This window comes from Homo sapiens, chromosome 10 (genome assembly GCF_000001405.40).
Source record: "Homo sapiens chromosome 10, GRCh38.p14 Primary Assembly".
NCBI classification, from domain to species: domain Eukaryota; kingdom Metazoa; phylum Chordata; class Mammalia; order Primates; family Hominidae; genus Homo; species Homo sapiens.
In genome coordinates, this window is record NC_000010.11 from 27,922,255 (window position 1) to 27,943,539 (window position 21,285).

The following is a 21,285-nucleotide window of genomic DNA, read 5'->3' on the forward strand; positions in this document are numbered from 1 at the left end:
ATTTTTAGCAAGTTTTAACATATAAGAATTTAGGGAATTCTGCACCCCTGAGCCCTTTTTGAAGATTCTCCTAGAGGGATGAGCTCCAAACTAAGACTATAGAACTTAAGCTAATTGAATCACATATGCATAGATTATATAAGTAAATATATATGTAACTGTTGATCTAAGTTTAAAACAAAGGCAGGGTCAATGGTGGAATAATAATGTTTGAATGTTATATATAACAAAACAGAAATAATGCACTTTAAAAATGGGAGGAAAAGGAAGGGAGAAAAAGAAAAATAGAATGATCCTATTGATTACCATACAGGCAATAGATGAGAATTAAAAGAAACCAATAAAAACTGAGAAACTAAATACTGAATGGGCTGGGCACAGTGGCTCACACCTGTAATCCCAGCACTTTGGAAGGCCGAGGTGGGTGGATCATTTGAGGTCAGGAGTTCAAGACCAGCCTGGTCAAAATGTTGAAACCCTGTCTCTACTAAAAATACAAAAATTAGCTAGGCATAGTGGTGCATGCCTGTAATCCCAGCTACTATGGTGGCTGAGGCAGGAGAATCATTTGAACCCAGGAAGCAGAGGTTGCAGTGAGCCAACATCGCACCACTGCACTCCAACCTGGGCAACAAAGTGAGACTCTGTCTCAAAAAACAAAAACAAAATAAAACAAAAACAAACAAACAAAAAACAAAAAAAACTAAATAGTGAATGATTAAATAAGAAGGAGGATGAGGACACTGGAAAAATTTATAGGTACAAAGATAACCACTAGAACAAAAATGCAAACCTTTCTAAAGAACAACAAATTAAAGAGCAAGCAATAACAAAGAACAAAGACTGCAAATCTTATAGCAAAATATAATTATAAAAAATTACGACATTGTTGAAACTAAACATTATTCATATCCATGAATGTGAATGCGTTTAACTCATTAAAACAAAAACTATGTTTAATTGACTCACAAAACAAGACCCCATTTATATACTGCATGCAAGGGCACATCTAAAACAATGTGATTCAGAAAGACTAAAAAAGTGTAGATCAAGATATATCAAGCAAATGGAAACAGTAAGAAAGCAGGGATAAATATTCTGTTACCAAACAAAGTAGAAATCAAGCCAAAACACATTAAACCTGACAAAGAACAGCACTTGAAATATCAAAAGTCATAATTCATAACCATTAGAAACATTTATGCACCAAATAATACAGCACCTACTATAGAAGATGTAAGAAGATTTAGATAAAAGTACATTAATAATAAGAGAATTTCATACAGCAGTTACAGCATAAGACAGATCAAGTTCACACAAAATAATAAGATAGAAGACATAAGTAATATAAAGTAGATCTAGAGAATACACATCAAACTCTACACTCTGTTGATAAAGAATCCCAAGCACTGACAGGGTACAGTGGCTCACACCTGTAATCTCAGTGCTTTGAGAAGCCAATGGGGGATAATCACTTGAGGACAGGAGTTCAAGACCAGCCTGGACAACAGAGCAAGACCACATCTCTACAAAAAATTTTTGAAATTAGCTGGATGTGGAGGCACATACCTGTAGTCCTAGCTACTTGGGAGGCTGAGGTGGTAGGATTGCTTGAGTCCAGGAGTCCAAGGCTGCAGTAAGCTATGATTACACCACTGCATTCCAGGTGATAGAGAGAGACCCTGTCTAATGAAAGAAAGAAAGAAAGAAAGAAAGAAAGAAAGAAAGAAAGAAAGAAAGAAAGAAAGAAAGAAAGAAAGAAAGAAAGAAGGAAAGAGAAAGAAAGAAGGAAAGAGAAAGAAAGAAAGAAAGAAAGAAAGAGAATCCCAGTACCCATAAAACACTCATAATAATTCATCTTCTATTGTCATTAAAAAAGCATCCATAAGCTTCATTAACAGTTGAAATAAAAAAGTCAACACACTCTGATCAAAATGTAGTATGAGAAATATCTAACAAATCAAAAAGTAAAATTCTCTGTGTAGTTAAAAAAAATTTTAAAGAAAAATTTCTCATTAATTCTATTAAGCAACTGGGCTAACAGGGGAATACAAAGTGAAATTAAGACACTTCTAAAAATGATGATAATGAAAGTACTATACATCAAAATTACAGGGTACATTTAAAGCAATGTCAAAGGAAAATTCATAACATAAGCAACTTTTATTATTTTTTAAAAAATTAAAATAATTAGAAAAATAGCTACAATATAAACCAAAAGAGACCAAAATGAATAAAGATAAAACCAGAAATTTATGTGGTAGAAAATAAAAGAACAGTACATCCAGTTAATAAAATAAAAAATTTTCAGAAAAAAAATTCAAAATAGAGAAACCATACTAGCTAAATTGATTAGGAGGAAAAAAAAAAAAAAAAAAAAAAAAAACAGAAGAAAGCCCACATTATACAAAAATTTAAAATGACAAGGAAAAAATAACCATTGAACCAGGAAAATTTAAACACCATTAAGAGATTAGTTTGCAGGCCACTATTCAAATAAATTTGAAAGTTGAAAGGAAATTGAACATTTCCTAATAAAATGCAGATTTCCAAAATTGAGCTCAGTAGAATAAAAAACATAAATAGACCACTTTACATAGAAGAACTAGAGAAAGCTATTAAATAATTTTTTAAAAAACTGTAGGTCCATATAATTGCATAGGAGACTTCTACCAAACCTTCAAAGCCCAGGTAGTCCCATTGCTCAATAAACTGTTCCAGAGTATTTAAAATGAAAAAAAAAAAAAAATCCCGATTCCTTTTGTGAAGCAAGTATAACATTGATAACTAGATTTTATAAAAAGCCAGAAAAAGAAAACAGAAAAAAGAAAAACTACAGACCAATATCACTCATGAATATTATTACAAAAATGCTAAATATTAGCTAACAGAGTCCTACCTCACATTAAGAAAAACAGTACACTATGACTAAGTGAGACTTATTCCAGGAATGCAAGGTTAGTTCAATGTTTGAAAATGCATTAATAATTCCCTATATTAATAGGAATAAGAAAAAAATCATGATGAAACATATAGAGCACAGTCCCCACAAATGCTCAGAAAGCCTTTGACAAAATTCAATTACCAATCCTAATAAAAACACTTTTTAAAAAATGTTTTTGAGGCAAGGCCTCACTCTGTCACCCAGGCTGGAGTACAGTGATGCAATCATGGCTTACTACAGCCTCAAATTCCTGATCTCAAATAATCCTCCCACCTCAACCTCCTGAAAGGCTGGAATTACAGGTGCACACTACCATGCTCAACTAATTTTTAAAGTTTTTGTAGAGACAGGGCCTCATTACGTTTTCCAGGCTGGTCTCAAACTCCTGGCCTCAAGTGATCCTCCTGCCTTGGCCTTCCAAAGTGCTGGGATTACAGGCATGAGCCACCACAATGGCAAAAAACACTTTAAACATAGAAATTGAGAGATAATTTTAATATGATAAAATACATACACTTTAAACCTAAGGTTATTCTTTTACTTCATAGAGAGACACTAGAGGCATCCCCACTAAAATTATGAACAAGACAAAGAGGATCCCTATCTCCACTACTATTCAAGAAGGTACTAGGGAATTAGCTAATGAAATTAGAGGAGATAAATCAATTTAAAGAATAAGAATTTTAAAGGAGTAACATTTGGGAGGCTGAGACAGGAGAATTGCTTGAGCCCGGGATGCAAGGGTTGCAGTGAGCCAAGATGGTGCCACTGCACTCCAACCTGGGTGACAGAGTGAGACTCCAGCTAAAAAAAAAAAAAAAAAAAAGTAACACTTTCTCTAATGTTAGAGCAGAGGTGAGCAAATTTTTCTGTAAAGAGCTAGATATTATTTTAGTCTTTAGTCTTTGTGGGCCATCCATTCTCTGCCACAGCTGCTCAACTTTGCAGTTGTAGCACAAATGCAGCCAAAGGCAATATATAAATTAATGATGGTAACTACATTCTAATAAAACTTTATTTATAAAAGTAAGATTTGGCCCATAAACCATAGTTTATCAAACATTGTCCTAGAGAATTAACAATAAAAGGAACTCAACCAATAAGAGAATTCTGTAAAGTAGCGGGATATAGAATTATCATACAGAATTCAACGGAGCTCATTAAAAACAGCCAATCAGTCTGAGGACATGATGGCAGAGGCGGAAAAAAAAAAAACTTTTCCACAATCCACAAAGAGGACAAAATACTTACAAATTAACCGGACAAAAATAAACAAAATTCATATGAAGAAACCTTTAAAACACTCTTCAAAGTCAAAAATCTGGACTTGAATAATGGAAGGTTTCTGAAATGTACTATGACTATGTAAGATGTTAAGGTTAAGGGAAGCTGAGTAAAGGGCATGGGAATTCTGTGTTTTGTGTTGTCTCTCTGCTTTTGCAACTTTTCCATAAGTCCAATGCTATTTCAAAGTAAAATTTAGCAGAAAATTTTTTACAAAGAAAGTAAAGATCCTGAGGTATGGAAAAATAAATCATAGATATTTCTGAAGTTTTTAACTTAAATTTTTTTAGTTGTTTGACATTTTATAATATTTTATCAGAAAATTATGGTCCCCAAAACATAAATGTTAATGGTTTTTTGCAATGTTGGTGTGATTTTATATACTTGAAGGCCAGATTACCTCCAGATAAATTTTATAAGTATCAAATAGACATTACTTGATACTTACAAAACAAGAAACGAAAATTCAGCACACGTAAATCTACTGTTTCATAAACTTAATGTATCAGGATACCTATTGTCCCATTTTAGATCTGGTGGTGGGGCATAAGGCATAATTAGTATGAAATAATTTATATTGAGTTTTTAAAAGAAGTAGTCTGGAGTACTGAAAAAAGTCAATAGAGTTTTACAAAATCATTGGTTTCACAAAAATCACTTTTACTTCAGTAGCCAAACTATTAATATTAAGATGACATTTCTTATTCCTACTGAGAAACATATAAAGGAAGAGAGGTGCTATGAATTCTACTCCACAAAGTTAATAAAACTGTGCTAAGGGTTTATATGTTTATCCTGATATGTGACCCAAGTTTTTACCATAGCCACAGCCAAATCACTAAAACATAAAACTGCTAGTCATTAAAACAAGTTCCTAACCCATGAATTATGGAAGATTTACATAGGAGAGAGGGATTTGTCATTTCCTTACCATGTAAGACTTAAAGCTCAAAGATGCAGTAGGTCCTATAAATCTAGCAATAATAGCCATGCCTGAAACATAATGCAAAGAGTAATGCTGTCTTGATTCTTATCAAAGTTAAAATACTGTTTTCTGAAACTTAGTGTATTTATAAAAACACACGTGGGACGCCTATGTTCACAGGTACAAAAGGATTCACTAACCTCCTTGTTGCACAAAAAAGGGAAGTTTAGTCCTTATCTTACCAGGCCTTGCTATAGAATTTAACATGTTTGACCTCTTTGTCTCCTTTAAACACTCTATTGCCTGTTTTTTCTATAACTCACTCTTCTAGTTCCCCGCTCAACTCTCTGGCTGATGCCTGTTTCTTTACAGAGACTTTTTCTTCATTCTCCTTAATGATTGAGTTCATTCTCCTTAAATGATTGAGTTCAATAAGCTTCTGTTTTTGTCTTTCTTTCTTCACTCTGTTTCTCTTCCTCACAACCTCTTACATATATCCATGACATAAGTTACCAAATATTCATAATATTATACACCCAACCCATCCCTCTAATCTAACTAAGCTTTAGACATGAATACCCAATTGACTAGTTGACATCACCACTTGGGTGTCCCATAGGAACCTCAATGTCTCTACACAACCATAACTGAACTCACCATTCATTTATTATACAATAAGCATTTGTCAGGTGCCTACCCTGATCATGGTCCTGGGTTGGGCATTGGAGGTATAATAATGAACATATTGACTTTGTCTCTCCTCTCATGAAGTTCACTCTTTCTTCAACCATCTTCTACCAGTAAGTGGTACCAATATCCATATAGTTACCCAAGCCAGCAAACCGAACATCATCTACGACTCCTCCCTATTCTTTGTAACTCATGTTCAGTCATTCACTTGGTCCCATCCATTCTCTTCCATCATAGGTCTTTATTTAACCTATCGATTTCTCTATTTTTATTACATTATATTTTATAGGGTTAGTTTAAGCCACCTTCACCTCTCACCTATGATGATCCCCTAACAAGGTTTCCTGTCTCTATTAATGCTAAAAACCTTCAATGATCCTCGACTGACCTCAAAACAAAATCCAAATTAGCATGACACACAAAGACCTGAATTATCTATTGCCTGTTCACTTATCTATGACATGCCCTCAAACCTCCTTTACTGCAGGTGAGAGTTTAATGCGAATTATTTGCCATTTAAGGCCCCTTGTTTCAATTTATGGCAAATTAAATAACATGTCTTGATATAAGAGAAACACAATCAAGAGGCAAAATCATCTTATACAGATGAATATACATACTATGCAATCTGACTTTCATTTTCTAGTTATGTATTATCTTTTAAAATTTCTATTAATTGAACCTATTTCTACCGCAACAATACTAGCCTACATTTACACACAGCACTTATTATATGTCAGTCACTTTACTTACATAAATTCACTTAATCATCTCAACAACCCAATGACATAGGTACCATACTATCCCCATTTTATGTATATGGTGACCAAGACACTGAGTCATTTACAATTTGCCAAAGGAAAAATAGTTGGTGAATGATGAGACTGGTATTGCAGGCAATGGTTCCAGAATCCATATGTTTAGCCATTATACACTATACGTATGAACAAAATGGGATTGTACAAGGTGTTAAACAAGAAATTCGATTGTGTAAAGGTGACATATATTAATCATGTAGACTGTACAGAAAAATACAAAGCATTAACAAATGACCCCAAAATCCTACCATACTGAAATAACAATCATTAGCTGCTTAGGTAAATTATTCTGGATATCTCTGTATGTCTTTAGGTAGATAGAAGGATTGATGGATAGATAAGGCAGATAGATAAAACAGATGAATAGATGAGAGACGATTGATAGATAAAATAATGTTTTGTACCATGTCTATTGACTTTTTATGTGAAAGATGATAAAATTTGCATACTTACACATCTGCCCTGAGATGACTTTGTTTTGATTTTTGTCAGTTGTATTATTAAATTATAATTATCCATTTCTATAAAATATAGATGACTCTCCCTAATGATGATTCTTTCATTGTTTTGTCTTAGCTTAATATTTAAATGAATTCAAAGGTTTCCACTGGTATCTTTTAGCCATAGTTTTACTATTTTAAAGTACTTTGAGTAATTTCTTGGTTGACTGGGATTTTGTCATCAAGTAGTTTTTTCAGGGAGAGCTAGAGAGTACTACATTCACCAATCCTGTATGCTTACGAATATGATATTGCCTTCACATTTGAAGGATAACTTGGCTAATGTGAAATTCTCAGGCAATATTTTTTCTCTCTCAGGATGTTTTAATCAATGGCTTGTGTCATTAAAAGAAGATGCAGAGAAGTTTACAGCCAATGGTTTGCTTCTTTTGCCTGGATGTACTTATTTTTTCCCTTCTGAAATGCAAGTAATTTTATCAGGATATGTGTTGCTGTTGGTCTTTTTTATGTCAATATTACTAAGATCTTTTGGGGTCTTTTTGAGATAAAGACTCACAGCAAAGTTTTCTTCTGTTATATCTTTACTTAAGATCATATTCCATTGGTTCCAACCTCTTCTTGAGGAATACCAATTACGTTTATGTTGGCTCTCCTTGGGTTCCATATTTATACATTTTTCTATTAACATTTTATATATTTTTATTTTTTATTTCCTATACATCACATTCCTGACTGTGTTTTTAGTTGTGTTTATTATATTTCTTTTACTCCTATCCAGGCTTTTTGTTCAATGATTTTCCTATTTCTTTTCTGAGCTCTGACTACTTGCTTTTAAAACTACTTAGGTTGCCTTATAAAATCTTTTGCAAAACTTTCTATGATTTTGACCAGGCATGGTGGCTCACACCTATAATCCTAAGCACTTTGGAAGTTTGAGGCGGGAGGACTGCTTGAGGGCAGGAGCTTAAGAACCTGTCTTTACAAAAAAATTTTTTGAAAACAATTAGCACACCTGTAGTCCTAGCTACTTGGGAGGATGAGGGAGGAGGATTGCTTGAGCCCAAGCATTCAAGGCTGCAGTGAACAATGATGGCACCACTGCACTCCAGCCTGGGTGATAGAGTGAGACCTTGTCTCTGAAAAACAAAAACAGGCTGAGAGAATGGCGTGAACCCGGGAGGCGGAGTTTGCAGTGAGCCGAGATCATGCCACTGCACTCCAGCCTAGGCGACAGAGCCAGACTCTGTCTCAAAAAAAAAAAAAAGAAAAAGAAAAAGGCAAACAAAAACTTTATATAATTTTTTGATTCTCTTATTAAGAAACAATATACTGTTTTAACAGCCTTGTGACTTTAAGGAAGTTACTTGAATTTATCTGTTTGCTTTTGTGATGGAATCACCTCAAATACAATCACACAACAACCTGCAATCCCTTTCACACTGAGAACACGTTGTCATTTAGTTTTGAGCATTCAAACAGTCAATCTGGTTTACTCTAAATCTCTAAAAGTTTATAGTTTCTTTTTGTGTTACAATCTGGCAATCATTGTCTCTAATACCCTTTTCACTCCGAAATGTCTACGAAATGGCTGGAAGGCCGCTATAGACAAAACAAAATGACATGTCCGTATGACTTTTCCCAAGGCTCTACTTCTGATGCCTCATAATGCAAAACTGGGTCTCTGATGGCAAAGTCTTCACTTCTTCCAAGACCCATTCAATTCCCCTAATCTCTGCTCTCTTAAAAAAAAAGAAAGAAAGAAAGAAAGAAAGGTTGACTATGCTTCGAATGACCATGACACTTATTTGGGGGGAAATCTTGAGATCTGAAGAGGCATGTGTTAAAAGTCAGCATATTACATATGGGTCAATAATTCATAGCATTTTGCAGGTGCGTTTTACATTTTAAAATTTGGAGTTGTGGCCATTCCCCTGTTTGGGTGAATATAATTTTTTCTCTACTTTTGCTCTCTTTTTGTAGGTTTCATGCCATTAACCAGAAGTCAAGCCACTCATAAAACTCCACAAACTAGTTTTGTGCATTACTAATAAATGTTTACTGCCTTCTCATCATCTACTTTACTATTTTAAAATTATCACTTCACTTGTCTGTCTACCCAGCTCAATCAGGTCCTTCAGGCTTGTTGTTTATCAGTGATTTTTTTTTCATTTCCATTTTATTGTTTCAAAACTTGATAGGTTCTTTACAATTCAGAATATGAAAAGAATATAGCTGTTTTCTCTGGCTTTTCTTCAGTGGATACAACTGAAAAGTCAATAAATCTAATACTTGCTTAAAACAGTTATATTAATGAGAATTTAAAGACTCATTTCAAAAAGTAATGCAATGATAACATTTAGAAGGAATTTCAAGGTGGCAACTAGATAACCTGGCAATGACTTACATAGAAATCATTAAAGCTGAGATACAGAATAGAAGTAGAGGCTTCGCAAGAGTAAGTTCTAATCTATAATAAATACAATTCAGTGCAGACACTCTTCAACTCACAATGGGGTTATGTCCCGATAAACCCATCATAAGTTGAAAATATAAATCAAAAGTGCATTTAATATACCTAACCTACTGAACATCATAGCTTAGACTAGCCCACCTTAAATACACTCAGAACATTACTGCAGCCTCAAACTCATGGGCTCAAGCAATTCTCCTGACTTAGCTTCCTGAGTAGCTAGGACTACAGGCGCACACCCTCACATCCTTTAATTCTTTACATTTTTTATAGAGACGGGGGTCTTGCTATGTTGCTCAGGCTAGTTTTGAACTCCTGGCCTCCAGCAATCCTTCTGCCTCTGCCTCCCAAAGTACTGGGATTACAGATGTAAGCCACCACGTCATTAGCCTATAGTTGGGCAAAATCATCTAACACAAAGCCTATCTTATACTAAAGTGTTGAAATCTCATGAAAGTTATTGAATACTGTACTGAAATTGAAGAAAAGAATGGTTGTAGAGGTACTTGAAGTATAGTTTCTACTGACTGCGTATTTTTGCACCATCAAATATTAAAAATTTCTAAGTTGAACGATCATAAGTTGGGACCATCTGTATATTTATTAAGAAATTAATAGTCACAGAAAGATTAAAAGATGATTTGTGATATAGTCTATCGAGTGATACAAAAATATTATTACTAACAAGGGAGACAATGATAAATTCTATATGGAAAATATTTGAAAATTTTAAGGTGGTTTCTCAGGCGAAGCCCAGTTCCATCTCAGGTTCTCCATGTTGGCTACTCCTGTCTGATATGTTCATGCAAGCTGCCTCCTTCTCAGTTTTTAGGTCTTGCTTTAAATATTATCCTCCCCGAGTCTACATTCCTGACTGCTTGAGCTAAAGTAACCAACTCCCACCCAGTCACTCTTTCAATCACACTGTTTTCTTGTCTTCATAGCTTTTAACACAATGGAAATCATTTTATTTGCTAACTGATTGAATGTATAGTCAATGTTCCACACATATAATAGAATGTAATCCCCACGACAGCAGGAGCTTTGTTTGGTTACCATTATAAATCCAGTGGCTAGCACAAAAGATGCTCAATAAATATGTGTTTAATGTAAAGGAATAAATAAGGAGCTGGGTGTGGTGGCTCACACCTGTAATCTCAGTACTTTGGGAGGCTGAGGCAGAAGGTTTGCTTGAGACAAGGAGTTCAAGACTAACTTGGGCAACATGGCAAGACCCCCAACTCCACAAAAAAATTTAAAGAATTAGAGGGCATGGTGATATAGTCCCAGCTACTAAGGAAGCTAAGATGGGAGGATTGCTTGAGCCCATGAGTTTGAAGTTGCAGCAAGCTATGATTGCATCACTGTATTTCAGCCTGGGTGACAGCCTGAGTCCCTGTCTCTAAAAAACAAACTAAACAAAACAAATAAGAATGTAACTCCAGACAATTGATATTTGCAAGTAAAAGATGAAAGCAAAGAAGTTAAATGGGGCCATAAGACAAAATGCTTTGAATAGCAAGTTAAGCACCTTAGTATTAAAATGGATTTTAGCATTGAGAAGTCACTGAAGGTTTTGTGGGCCAAGAAAACAACATTATCAGATATGCAGTTTAGGAAAGTAAATTTCAATGTTTTCAGGAACAAACTGAAAAGGGAGGCGGAGACTAGAGGTGATGCCAAATAGGACCCATTTCAATAGTCCAGGTAAAAGATGACAGAGCCCAACTGAGAGCAGAGAGGAGGAAATGCATTCAAAGAACATCAGAGGTAGTTGGTGGCCAAGTAGATTTGGGTAGACAAAAAATAAAGAGGAACCAAAGATCAAAAGAAATACATGCAGCCATTTCTGGCAAGTGTTTATAAGATTCTAATGAATAGCAAAGTGCGTTTCAAAAACATAAATACATTAGAAAATGGTTTTACAAGTCCAGCCAGTATGCTTCCCTTAAAGTAATCATGTATGCAACTTGTATTCCTTAGTGTCTGAAACACTGGAGACTAAGATTCCAATAACCAAATGCAAAAGGAGGTGTTAGTACTTGTGTATAAGATACGTGGTTAGACGAAGCCCCCTGATAGGATTTTGCTGTGTCCCCACCCAAATCTTATCCTGAATTCCCACGTGTTGTGGGAGAGACCCGGTGGGAGTTAATTGAATCATGGGGGCAGGTCTTTCCCATGCTGTTCTCATGATAGTGAGTAAGTCTCATGAGATCTGATAGTTTTAAAAAGAAGTTTCCCTGCACAAGCTCTCTTCTCTATTCCCTGCCACCATGTAAGATGTGACTTGCTCCTCCTTGCCTTCCACTATAATTATGAGGCCTCCCAGCCATGTGGAACTGTGAGTGAATTAAACCTCTTTCCTTTATAATTACCCAGTTTCGGGTATGTCTTTATCAGCAGCATGAAAATGGACTAATACGCTTACCTCCCCACACTTCCTGTTGGTTCTGTTTCTCTGGAAAGCCCTAATACAACAGCTTTAAGTCACCCAGGTTCCTCCTTTGTTGGAGTAAAGATATATATCTTTATAAAATATAAAGATATATGTCTTTATACATATATGTATATGTATCTTTTAATATATGAATATATATCTTTATATAGATATATTTATTTATATATGGATATATCTCTCTATATGTATATTGTATCTTTTTGTTCTATTGTTCTTAAATTGTCTTTTCTTCCTAATTAGACAATAAGGAGCAACACCATTACTTAAAATTCTTGTCTCTTCCCCTCATCAGTTCACAGTTCTTGCCAGGTGCTCAAAATACATTTGCTGAATAGGTGAGAAACAAGAAGGCTACTATGAGAATGTACCTGACACTCTCTAGGAGCCTAGTTAGATAGATGTATAATACTTCCCTAGGAGACAGAGAAAAGTTTTGTTGACTGAATAAAGGTTTCCACATGGGAAATTGATTACCGTGTATTGTAAATCCTCCCAATATGACCAACTTAGCCCTCCATCTCATATGAGGTAATGTTTTGGCTCTGTAACTCATGATTTGGTAAACTTGTGATTATTTATATGACACACTGTATTTTTTCATCATTCGTGCACATCAATTCTAAGTGATGACACTATTCTGTGACCTCCCAAGTGTTCTCCCTAACACTTATATAAAATCTTTCCATCTCCAGGGCCACTTACATCATACTTTCAGGTTCTACTGCACAAGCACCAACTGCTTTTGTAACATTCACAAGAAGAGCTTGGTTTATTCCAACAAGGAGGTTCACAAGTGGTTGAATGCCACCACATTTCCGGACAATGACTCGGTTTTCACGTTCTTGGCAGCATTCTCCCAAGGCCCCAACCACATTCACAAGTACTTCTTCAGGCTGATCTGTTAGAAGTCCCACCAAGGTTTCAATGGCTTTGTATTCCCGAAACCTAAGTTCATCATAAGAAAGAGGAGAATTGGTTTTTGTATAAGGTTTGCTAAAAATTACTAAATGTTCATTCAATCCTTACAACAACCCAATGATACAGATATTATTAAATCCCCATTACTGGATGGTTAATCTGAAGCTTGGTAAATAGTAGAGCTGACGTCTAACCCAGCCATCTGCTCCAGACCTGCACCCTTAATCACCATGCAGTACAGCCTCTAAGAAAACCACAGCTTGTTCTAAACCTGAGGATCTAAGATTCCACTCTACTAGGGTTTTTTCCCCCTATCTTCCAGAGACTACTTTACCTGAATGAAGTCTTCTAAATGTTTAATAAAAATAAATTATATGTTATATATTTTTGTTTTCAAATGCATCAAACATGGCTCTATTGTACCTATTTGGGTTTAATAGGTCTCTTGAAATGAGTAGTAGCTTGTGCTACTTGGATAAAAAAAAAAAAGTCACTCTCAGGTATCTTCTATATTAACCACTAATACATTTTACCATCTCTCTTGTCATAAAATTGCACTCTGATATATATGTATATATGTATGTGTGCATACATATATACACACACATATGTATGCATATATATATATACACACACAAATACACACACATACACACACACACCAAAAGGAAGCATGCTACATAAAGGTAAATATTTGAAAATTCCTAGTTTCTATACAGAACATTTTCCCTTCCTAATAAATTTCAGCTGTATTTAAGTACCATGATGCAGCTGAGTTTTTAATTAAGATAAAAGTTCCATTAGCCGAGGTTACTTTTAATCTAGCCATGACTTCACTACGCCTTATTAAGTAAACTTATTTTGTGTTAAATGGTCGGGACGTGAATCTCTTGTTAAAGGAAATAATCAGATGGAGTCAAGGAGAAGCTGCCTCAGAATACCCATCATTGAGATTGTAATCTCTCAAAAATAGGAAGAGATAGATTTGAAAATTAAAATAAATCAAATGGTCATAAAGGTTACAAATACTTTAAAATCGAATCTGATGAAATCATGTTTGAAAATGACCACTCTTTAAAGAGTAACTGGTTAGTTGACATTTAGTTGATTCATCTTGTTTATCTTTAGAAAAGGAAAAAGAACAAAATCACTTCCATCTCTAAAGATTCCATGGGAAATCCGCCCACTCACCTTGATAGGTCCCCACAGAAAATATCAAAGATATTTCTAATTCAAATGGCTGCCCATATGCAAAATAGAGAAATCATGTCAGCAAGCCTCTTAGTGCCACTGAGGCACAGAAAAAGTCATTGCCAGGTGGTGGGCAATTTCTATTCTTTTCTTTTCTATTCTAAGAATCCCTTCATTGGGCTAACTTCATCCAGAATGTACATCTACAACTAACATTAGAATTGACTCCTTACTAGAATGGCATTAAATGACAAGAAGGTGTTTCAGAAGCCGTATCTTCATTTCAGAATATTGAGAGCCTTCTCTTACTTGGTAACATTCTCTTTGCTGATGGAACATTTCCATATAGCCCCTGTGACAGCAGCTAACCGCTCTTTATTGTCAGTGTTATTGAGTAGACTGGCCAAGGGCTTAAGTCCTCCGTGCAGCCTAACGAGGTCCCGGGTTTCCTTATCTTCAGCACACTGCACGAAAAGTCAGACAGAGGCTGTCAGTCATCAAGGAATATCAAGCTTTCAATGATGCTAAAAAGGCTGCCATTCTAGTAGCTAGGAAACTTCTTTCTAGAGAGATCATTTTCGAAAGATGCCTCCAAGTAAAATATAATTCATCTTTCTACTAGTAGCTTTCTGACAGCATGTCTCTCTCCTTATGTGGCTTTGGGAATGGATAGCAGTTTCTAAGTACTCAGCAATTCTCCCAAGCCAGTTTTGAGATAGCCTAGGCATCTCCTGAGGCGAAGGTCAGTGGAAAACCTACAACTCCACTAGCAAGGAATGGAGGATTTCTGCAGTGATGCAACTCAGAGTCTTGGGAAAACATAGTAGAGAAGACAGATGAGTGATAGGGATTTGGTCAGCTCTTCAATGGCCCCTGAAATCTAGAGACAAATATATTTTCTTTTTTTCTTTCTTTCTTTTTTCTTTTTTTTTTTTTTTTGAGAGAGACTCTTGCTCTGTCGCCCAAGGTGGAGTGCAGTGGCATGATCTCGACTCACTGCAACCTCCACCTCCTGGGTTCAGGTGATTAGAGACAAACAATTTCTCCAATCAAGTTTCTATGCCCAGAGCAGTGAGTGATATCAATAGTACCTGACATTTTATTCAAATATGCTTATCCATGTTTGTGTCATCCTTTGAAATAAATATTTACTGCACAGATGGTCTCAACTGATCATTCTTCCCGGGCTCTAGAGCCAACAGATGATACAGTTAGCAGAGACTTGGCAATTACTCCAAGCACACAGATGTTTTCTGATGCCATGTGATCCAGATATGTGTCATGTGTCACCCATGGAGGCCACTAGAAGAAATCCTCATCACAGTGCACCATACAGGCACCTGCCATGTTTATCTTCTGCACGTGATTTTCAATTCTGGATTACAGGCACCTTCTAAAAATTAATCCCTATTTCTAATCAACTCAGTGGTTACTCTGATGAGGCATATATACAAATATATACAAGTCAGGGCTATATACGATTGTTATGGGCCAAATTGTGTCCCCTCAAAATTCATATATAGAGGTTTTTTGTTTTTTGTTTTTTAGATCGAGTTGCTCTCTGTTGCCCAGGCTGGAGTACAGTGGCACAATCTCAGATCACTGCAACCTCTACCTCGTGGGTTCAAGCAATTCTCGTGCCTCCACCTCCAGAGTAACTGGGATTACACCACCACACCTGGCTAATTGTTTTTGTATTTTTAGTAGAGATGGGGTTTCACCACGTTGGCCAGGCTGGTCTCGAACTCCTGACCTCAGGTTATCCACACACCTCGGCCTCCCAAAATGCTGGGATTATAGGCTTGAGCCACCCAGTACCTCAGAATGTGACTGTATTTGGAGACAGAGTTTTTAAAGAGGTCATTAAGGCTAAATGGCCTCTTCAAAATTACTTGAGTAGGCCCTGCTCCAATAGGACTGCTGTCCAAGGGGAGAAAATGACACTGGCATACACTAAGGAAAGACGGTGGGAGGACACAGGGAAAAGGCAGCCGTCTACAAGCTGAGGAGAGAGGCCTCAGAAGAAACTAACTTTGGTCTGAAACGTCTAGCCTCTGGGGCTGCAAGGAAATAAATTTCGGCTGTTCAAGCCACCCAGTCTGTGGTATTTTGTTATGGCAGCCCTCCCTCACAACCTAATACAATCCTCTACTGAAATGACTCCCTTGTATCTGTCTCTTCTTTTTTCTTTTTTTTTTCTCTTCTGAGACAGAGTCTCACTGTCTCAGGCTGAAGTCCAGTGGCGCGATCTTGGCTCACTGCAACCTCCACCTCCCAGGTTCAAGTGATTCTCCTGCCTCAGCCTCCTGAGCAACTGGGATTACAGGCACATGCAACCACACCCAGCTATTTTTTGTATTTTTAGTAGAGACGGGGTTGCACCATGTTGGCCAGGCTGGTCTTGAACCCCTGACCTGAAGTGATTCGCCCATCTCAGCCTCCCAAAGTGCTGGGAATACGGGGACTGCAGGGCCGGGTACAGCCCCTTGTATCTTTTTGGCATACTCTCTTGATGCTGCACATCTTAAGTGCATTCCTCTAGCAAACCTACTCTGATTAGGTAGAAGCAGACGTGCACAGTAACCAGCCATCCACTACTTTGTCAAGGCCATTTTTCTCCCTTTACCATTCTGATCTGTTTTCTGGTATACTATGAAATGTATCATACACAAAAAGTTAGTGTAGATTACAATAAGTAAACCAGTAAAAAGATAAAACAGGAACACACACACACACACACGCATTCCTCTGGCTAGTCTTGGTAGGAGATAAATGCCCCAAGATTATTTGAACAGGACATATTAAAAGCAATATAGAAGCACCATGTACTTATTTATCTATTTTACGCTAAGTACATTATTTTAGGAGACAAAGATGCATAAGTGTCTTCTAGAAACAAATAGTCCCAGATGTCAAAGCAGGTTTCTCTGACTTATACAAGTTATCTGCCATTACCACAGGACAATGGTTCTTAGACCTGTCTATGAAAATCCAATGGAGTTCTTGTTAAAAATGCAGGCCGGGCACGGTGGCTTATGCCTGTAATCCCAGCACTTTGGGAGGCTGAGGAGGGAGAATCACTTGAAGCCAGGGGTTTGAGACCAGCCTGGGCAACAGAAAAAATAAAAATAACTCCATCTCTACCAAAAATACAAAAACAATTAGCCCTACATTAGCCAGGCATGGTGGTAAACACCTGAAGTGCCGGCTACTTGGGAGGCAGAGATGGGAGGATCACTTCAGCCCAGGAGATTGAAGTGACAGTGAGCTATGATTGTGCCATTGCCCTCCAGCCTGGGCAACAGAGCAAGACCCTATCTCTAAAAAAATAAAAATAAATTAAAACTTAAAAAAATCAAATAAATAAATAAAATGCAGATTCCTGAGTCCCATTCTCACAGAAGGAAACCACATGGTTAGAAAACTACCTTAAACTATGTGAGAAAGAACGCCAACAACCGCTGGGAGAGTTCACTGCACCTGGTAAATGGCCATGGCGCAGTGCTCCTGCAGCTGCTCATTCTCACTATTTAGGTTCTTGACAAGGTTTTCAATGATCCTTTCTGCTTTGATTGCAGCCCGGTAGTTTTCCTAGGAATAAAAACCTACATATTTATGTGTTCAAGACGTGAATATAAGTAACTGTTTACATTTATTAATAAACATGCTGAACAAACTTTCTTAGGAAATAATCACCATAGTCCAAGCTTAACATATCCCTACATCAATAAGAGAATCAACTGAATTAATATACACATATGTGTGTTTGTGTGTGTGTATATATATATAGTGTATAGATATATATGTCAGCATATATGTGTGATATATATATAAATGTCAGTATATGTGATATATATATAAATGCCAGTATATATGTGTGATATATATATAAATGTCAGCATATACGTGTGAGATTTATATAAATGTCAGTATATATGTGTGAGATATATATATATACATATATGTGTATATATATCACAGGTACTGATTTAATTAACGTCCTATCAGTTGGATCTTCTCTTTCTCATAGAATGCTGACTTCTAGAAAAAGAATGTCCTTGAGCCATCATGATAACCTTAGAAACAACTTTTGGACTAAAGAAAGTCAAGTTGAGAAGGCAAGGGAAGCAGAACTGGCATGAGTACCTCTGATGCACACTCTTGCAATGTCCCCACCACTGGAATTAGCATGTTTTCATGAGAAGTCTTCAGCAGCCGAGCCAACAGAGGAATGCCCCCAGCTTTGCGGATGGCTTCTTTATTCGTATGACTCTTACTGCAGCTCCACAGGGCCAGTGCCCCACAGCGAGCCACTTCCACGTCTCTGGCCTCATACAGACTCGATTGGGCAGGTTTTGTGGAATCATGTGCACAGTCTAGTAGAGCAACCTATAATAATAGATAAATCCAATGTTCATGGAAATCTTAAAAAGAACATTTAAGGCATTCTTCAATAGCTACAGTGTTCCTTACCAAGCTCACCTCCGTCAAAAACAAGAATGCTTTAAAAAATCACTTTTCGTACTCCATAGCAGCCACGGAAAGCAAAGAAACAAAACCCTACAAAAAACCTTCCTCCAGATTTGGGAGCTTATACATTTCCTTCCCACAAGAAATGTAAGCCCACCAAGATAGTATTTTCTTAACATGGCTCTAATATTTACATCAATCATATTTGTAAACCACATCCTCAGCCCAAACATCTCAGAAAACTAGCTTCCCTAAAACCATTAGCACTTTCTAAGGAGAACTGAATGGACTATACACCTTAAAGCCACAAGACCTGTCCAGGAACACTGGCTCACGCCTGTAATCACAACACTTTAGGAGCTCGAGGTGGGAGGATCACTTGAGGCCAGGAATTAGAGACCAGCCTGAACAACATAGCAAGATCCTGTTTCCACTGGAAAAAAAAAAAAAAAGCTGGATGTGGTGGTGCATGTGTGTAGTCCCAGCTACTCAGGAGGCTGAGGTGGGAGGATTGTTTGGGCCCAGGAGTTCAAGTCTGCAGTGAGTTATGATCACACCACTGCACTCCAGCCTGGGCAACAAAGCAAGATCCTGCCCCCCGAACCAAAAAAAAGAAAAAAAAAAAACCATGAGATCTCTTTGGAGGACATAGCCTGCCTCATGTGCTACTGAAACCAACCAAACCAAACAGCACAACTGCCAGCATCCAGTTTTTTTTTTTTTTTTTTTTGCAATAACTAAAGTCACTGAAGATCTTAAGGGAAAGGCAATTTACTATAAGGATTAAGCAGTATGTCAGGTTGCCCCATGGAGGAAGGGAAGTCAGACCTCCCTAGAGCTGCAATTGGCTGTCAGCCTTCCTTGCAGGCTCACTGTCTCTATCTGGGGCTTGGGAGCCATCATCTATGCACGTCTACTCCATTCTTCTGTCCCTGAAGGTCAACTTCCACAGATACTGCCCGTAACCACCAATCTCAAATTTATAAGGGAATAATAGCCTAGGCTAGGTAGAGTCTTTCAATCCCAATTCCAAGTTCCTGGGAGAGAGATCCAGTGGGACTGGCTTGAGACAGGTGGACACTCCTGGTCTAATTAGTTATGGCCCCAGGAAAGACGGGGATGGGGTATGGAGGCTTCCAGGTACTGACTGCAGGTGGGATAGGAACGTGGGAAAAATTCTAAGACCGTGGGATTGAACACAGATGCACAACAATAAATGATGCAGTATGGAAGTGCTCAGAAAGCCCGTAGCATTTGTGACTGTTTTGGAATTGCATGGTGGTTAGCAGGTGCTCCTCACAATCTTTGCCTTGCAAAAATTTATTCCTTGATTTAACCCACTGCCACTATGACCAGCACTACTGGTTGATTCACCAAAAATTGGTTAAATAATTGTCTTAGTTGTTTTGATGAATCTTTCTTAAATGTACGTATAGGTCACAGTCATTTCAATTTTTAATGTTGGAAGTGTTGGGGTCTTCATTTAGAAGTCTGGTGATATTTTTGTGACCAGAAAAATGCCATAGGAACTTAATTCTTGTTTATATCAGTTAGTCTATAGGAAAACTGGTTTTGTTACATGTTGTTTTGCTTAAAGTCACAATTTTTGAGAATCTGTTGATGATATTGAATGAAGACTTACTGTACTAGGTTCCTGAATGTGATGCATAAAACATATTTTATGTTACATTATCCATTCTTATAATTTAATGGGAGTAGTGTCAGTAGACAGTCACATCAACCTACCAAATTGTTTCATTATTTAAGCAGAATAATGATAATCATAGTAATAATTAAATTTTCTGTAACATTTTAATGAAAATTTTCGAACAGAAAAGCTTTAAGAATTGTACAATGATTGCACACAAACCTCCCTACATCCACCACCTGGAGTCTCTAATTAACATTCTGCCACATTCGTTTTATTACATATTTCACCATCTATTCATCCATCTATCCAGCCATAAGTCTATCTCATTTTTGAAACAAATACATTTATAGTGCTTTACAGATGACAAGTGAAAACACAGAATGTCTTTTGGAAAATTTCTGAACACATTTTTCAGTGTACCTATTTACATTAAAATCCATATTTATCCAACAGGTATTTATTAACCGTTCATACGGGTAAGGTACTGGGCTAAGTGCTGTGAAAGACACTAGGATGAATAAGGCCTGTCACTTAAAGTGCAGAAGTGGAAACAATACAGTAAGATAACAGCTCTGGGTGAGACACAAGATCTATTGATCCTTACTAAGAAAGTGAAAACATGTTGACTTTTTAAAGATCTTTCCTAATGATGGCAAAGGTGGTAAGCAGGATTCTGGTATTTTTCTTTTGATGCCAGCTATTGAGAAAATTATTTTTTCTGATTACAAAAGCAAGACTTAGACAAAGAAGACAAATTGGCAAATGTAGAAATGCAGGCAGAAAAATCAGTCAATTCAGAGAAAACTCCTGAGAGCAATTTGTGTGTTTATTTCTAGTGGTTTTTTTTAAAGATGGTAGGTACATCTTTAAAAACTGGGATCATAGATAACAGTTTTTAATCCTGTCATGATTTTATACAATATTAAATATTATACATTTTATTCCTTGCTATTAAATATACTTTTCAGGCTGGGTGCGTTGGCTCACACCTGTAATCCCAGC

General features: G+C 36.7%; 1 protein-coding gene across 28 annotated transcripts in view; it reads right to left on the reverse strand.

The window, feature by feature from the left end:
* The window catches only part of ODAD2 (outer dynein arm docking complex subunit 2), a 187,508-nt gene that overhangs the window by 110,087 nt on the left and 56,136 nt on the right, over positions 1-21,285 (reverse strand). For 27 of the 28 annotated variants that reach the window (XM_047425404.1, XM_024448052.2, XM_047425414.1 and 24 more), the window contains 4 exons: positions 18,309-18,551; positions 17,643-17,753; positions 14,472-14,626; positions 12,756-12,998 (listed from right to left, as the gene is read on the reverse strand). In XM_047425404.1, coding sequence (XP_047281360.1) covers positions 12,756-12,998; positions 14,472-14,626; positions 17,643-17,753; positions 18,309-18,551 — 752 coding nt within the window. Of the gene's footprint in view, positions 1-12,755; positions 12,999-14,471; positions 14,627-17,590; positions 17,754-18,308; positions 18,552-21,285 lie in introns of those variants that run through there. The other variant, XM_017016371.2, reaches the window with a different exon arrangement.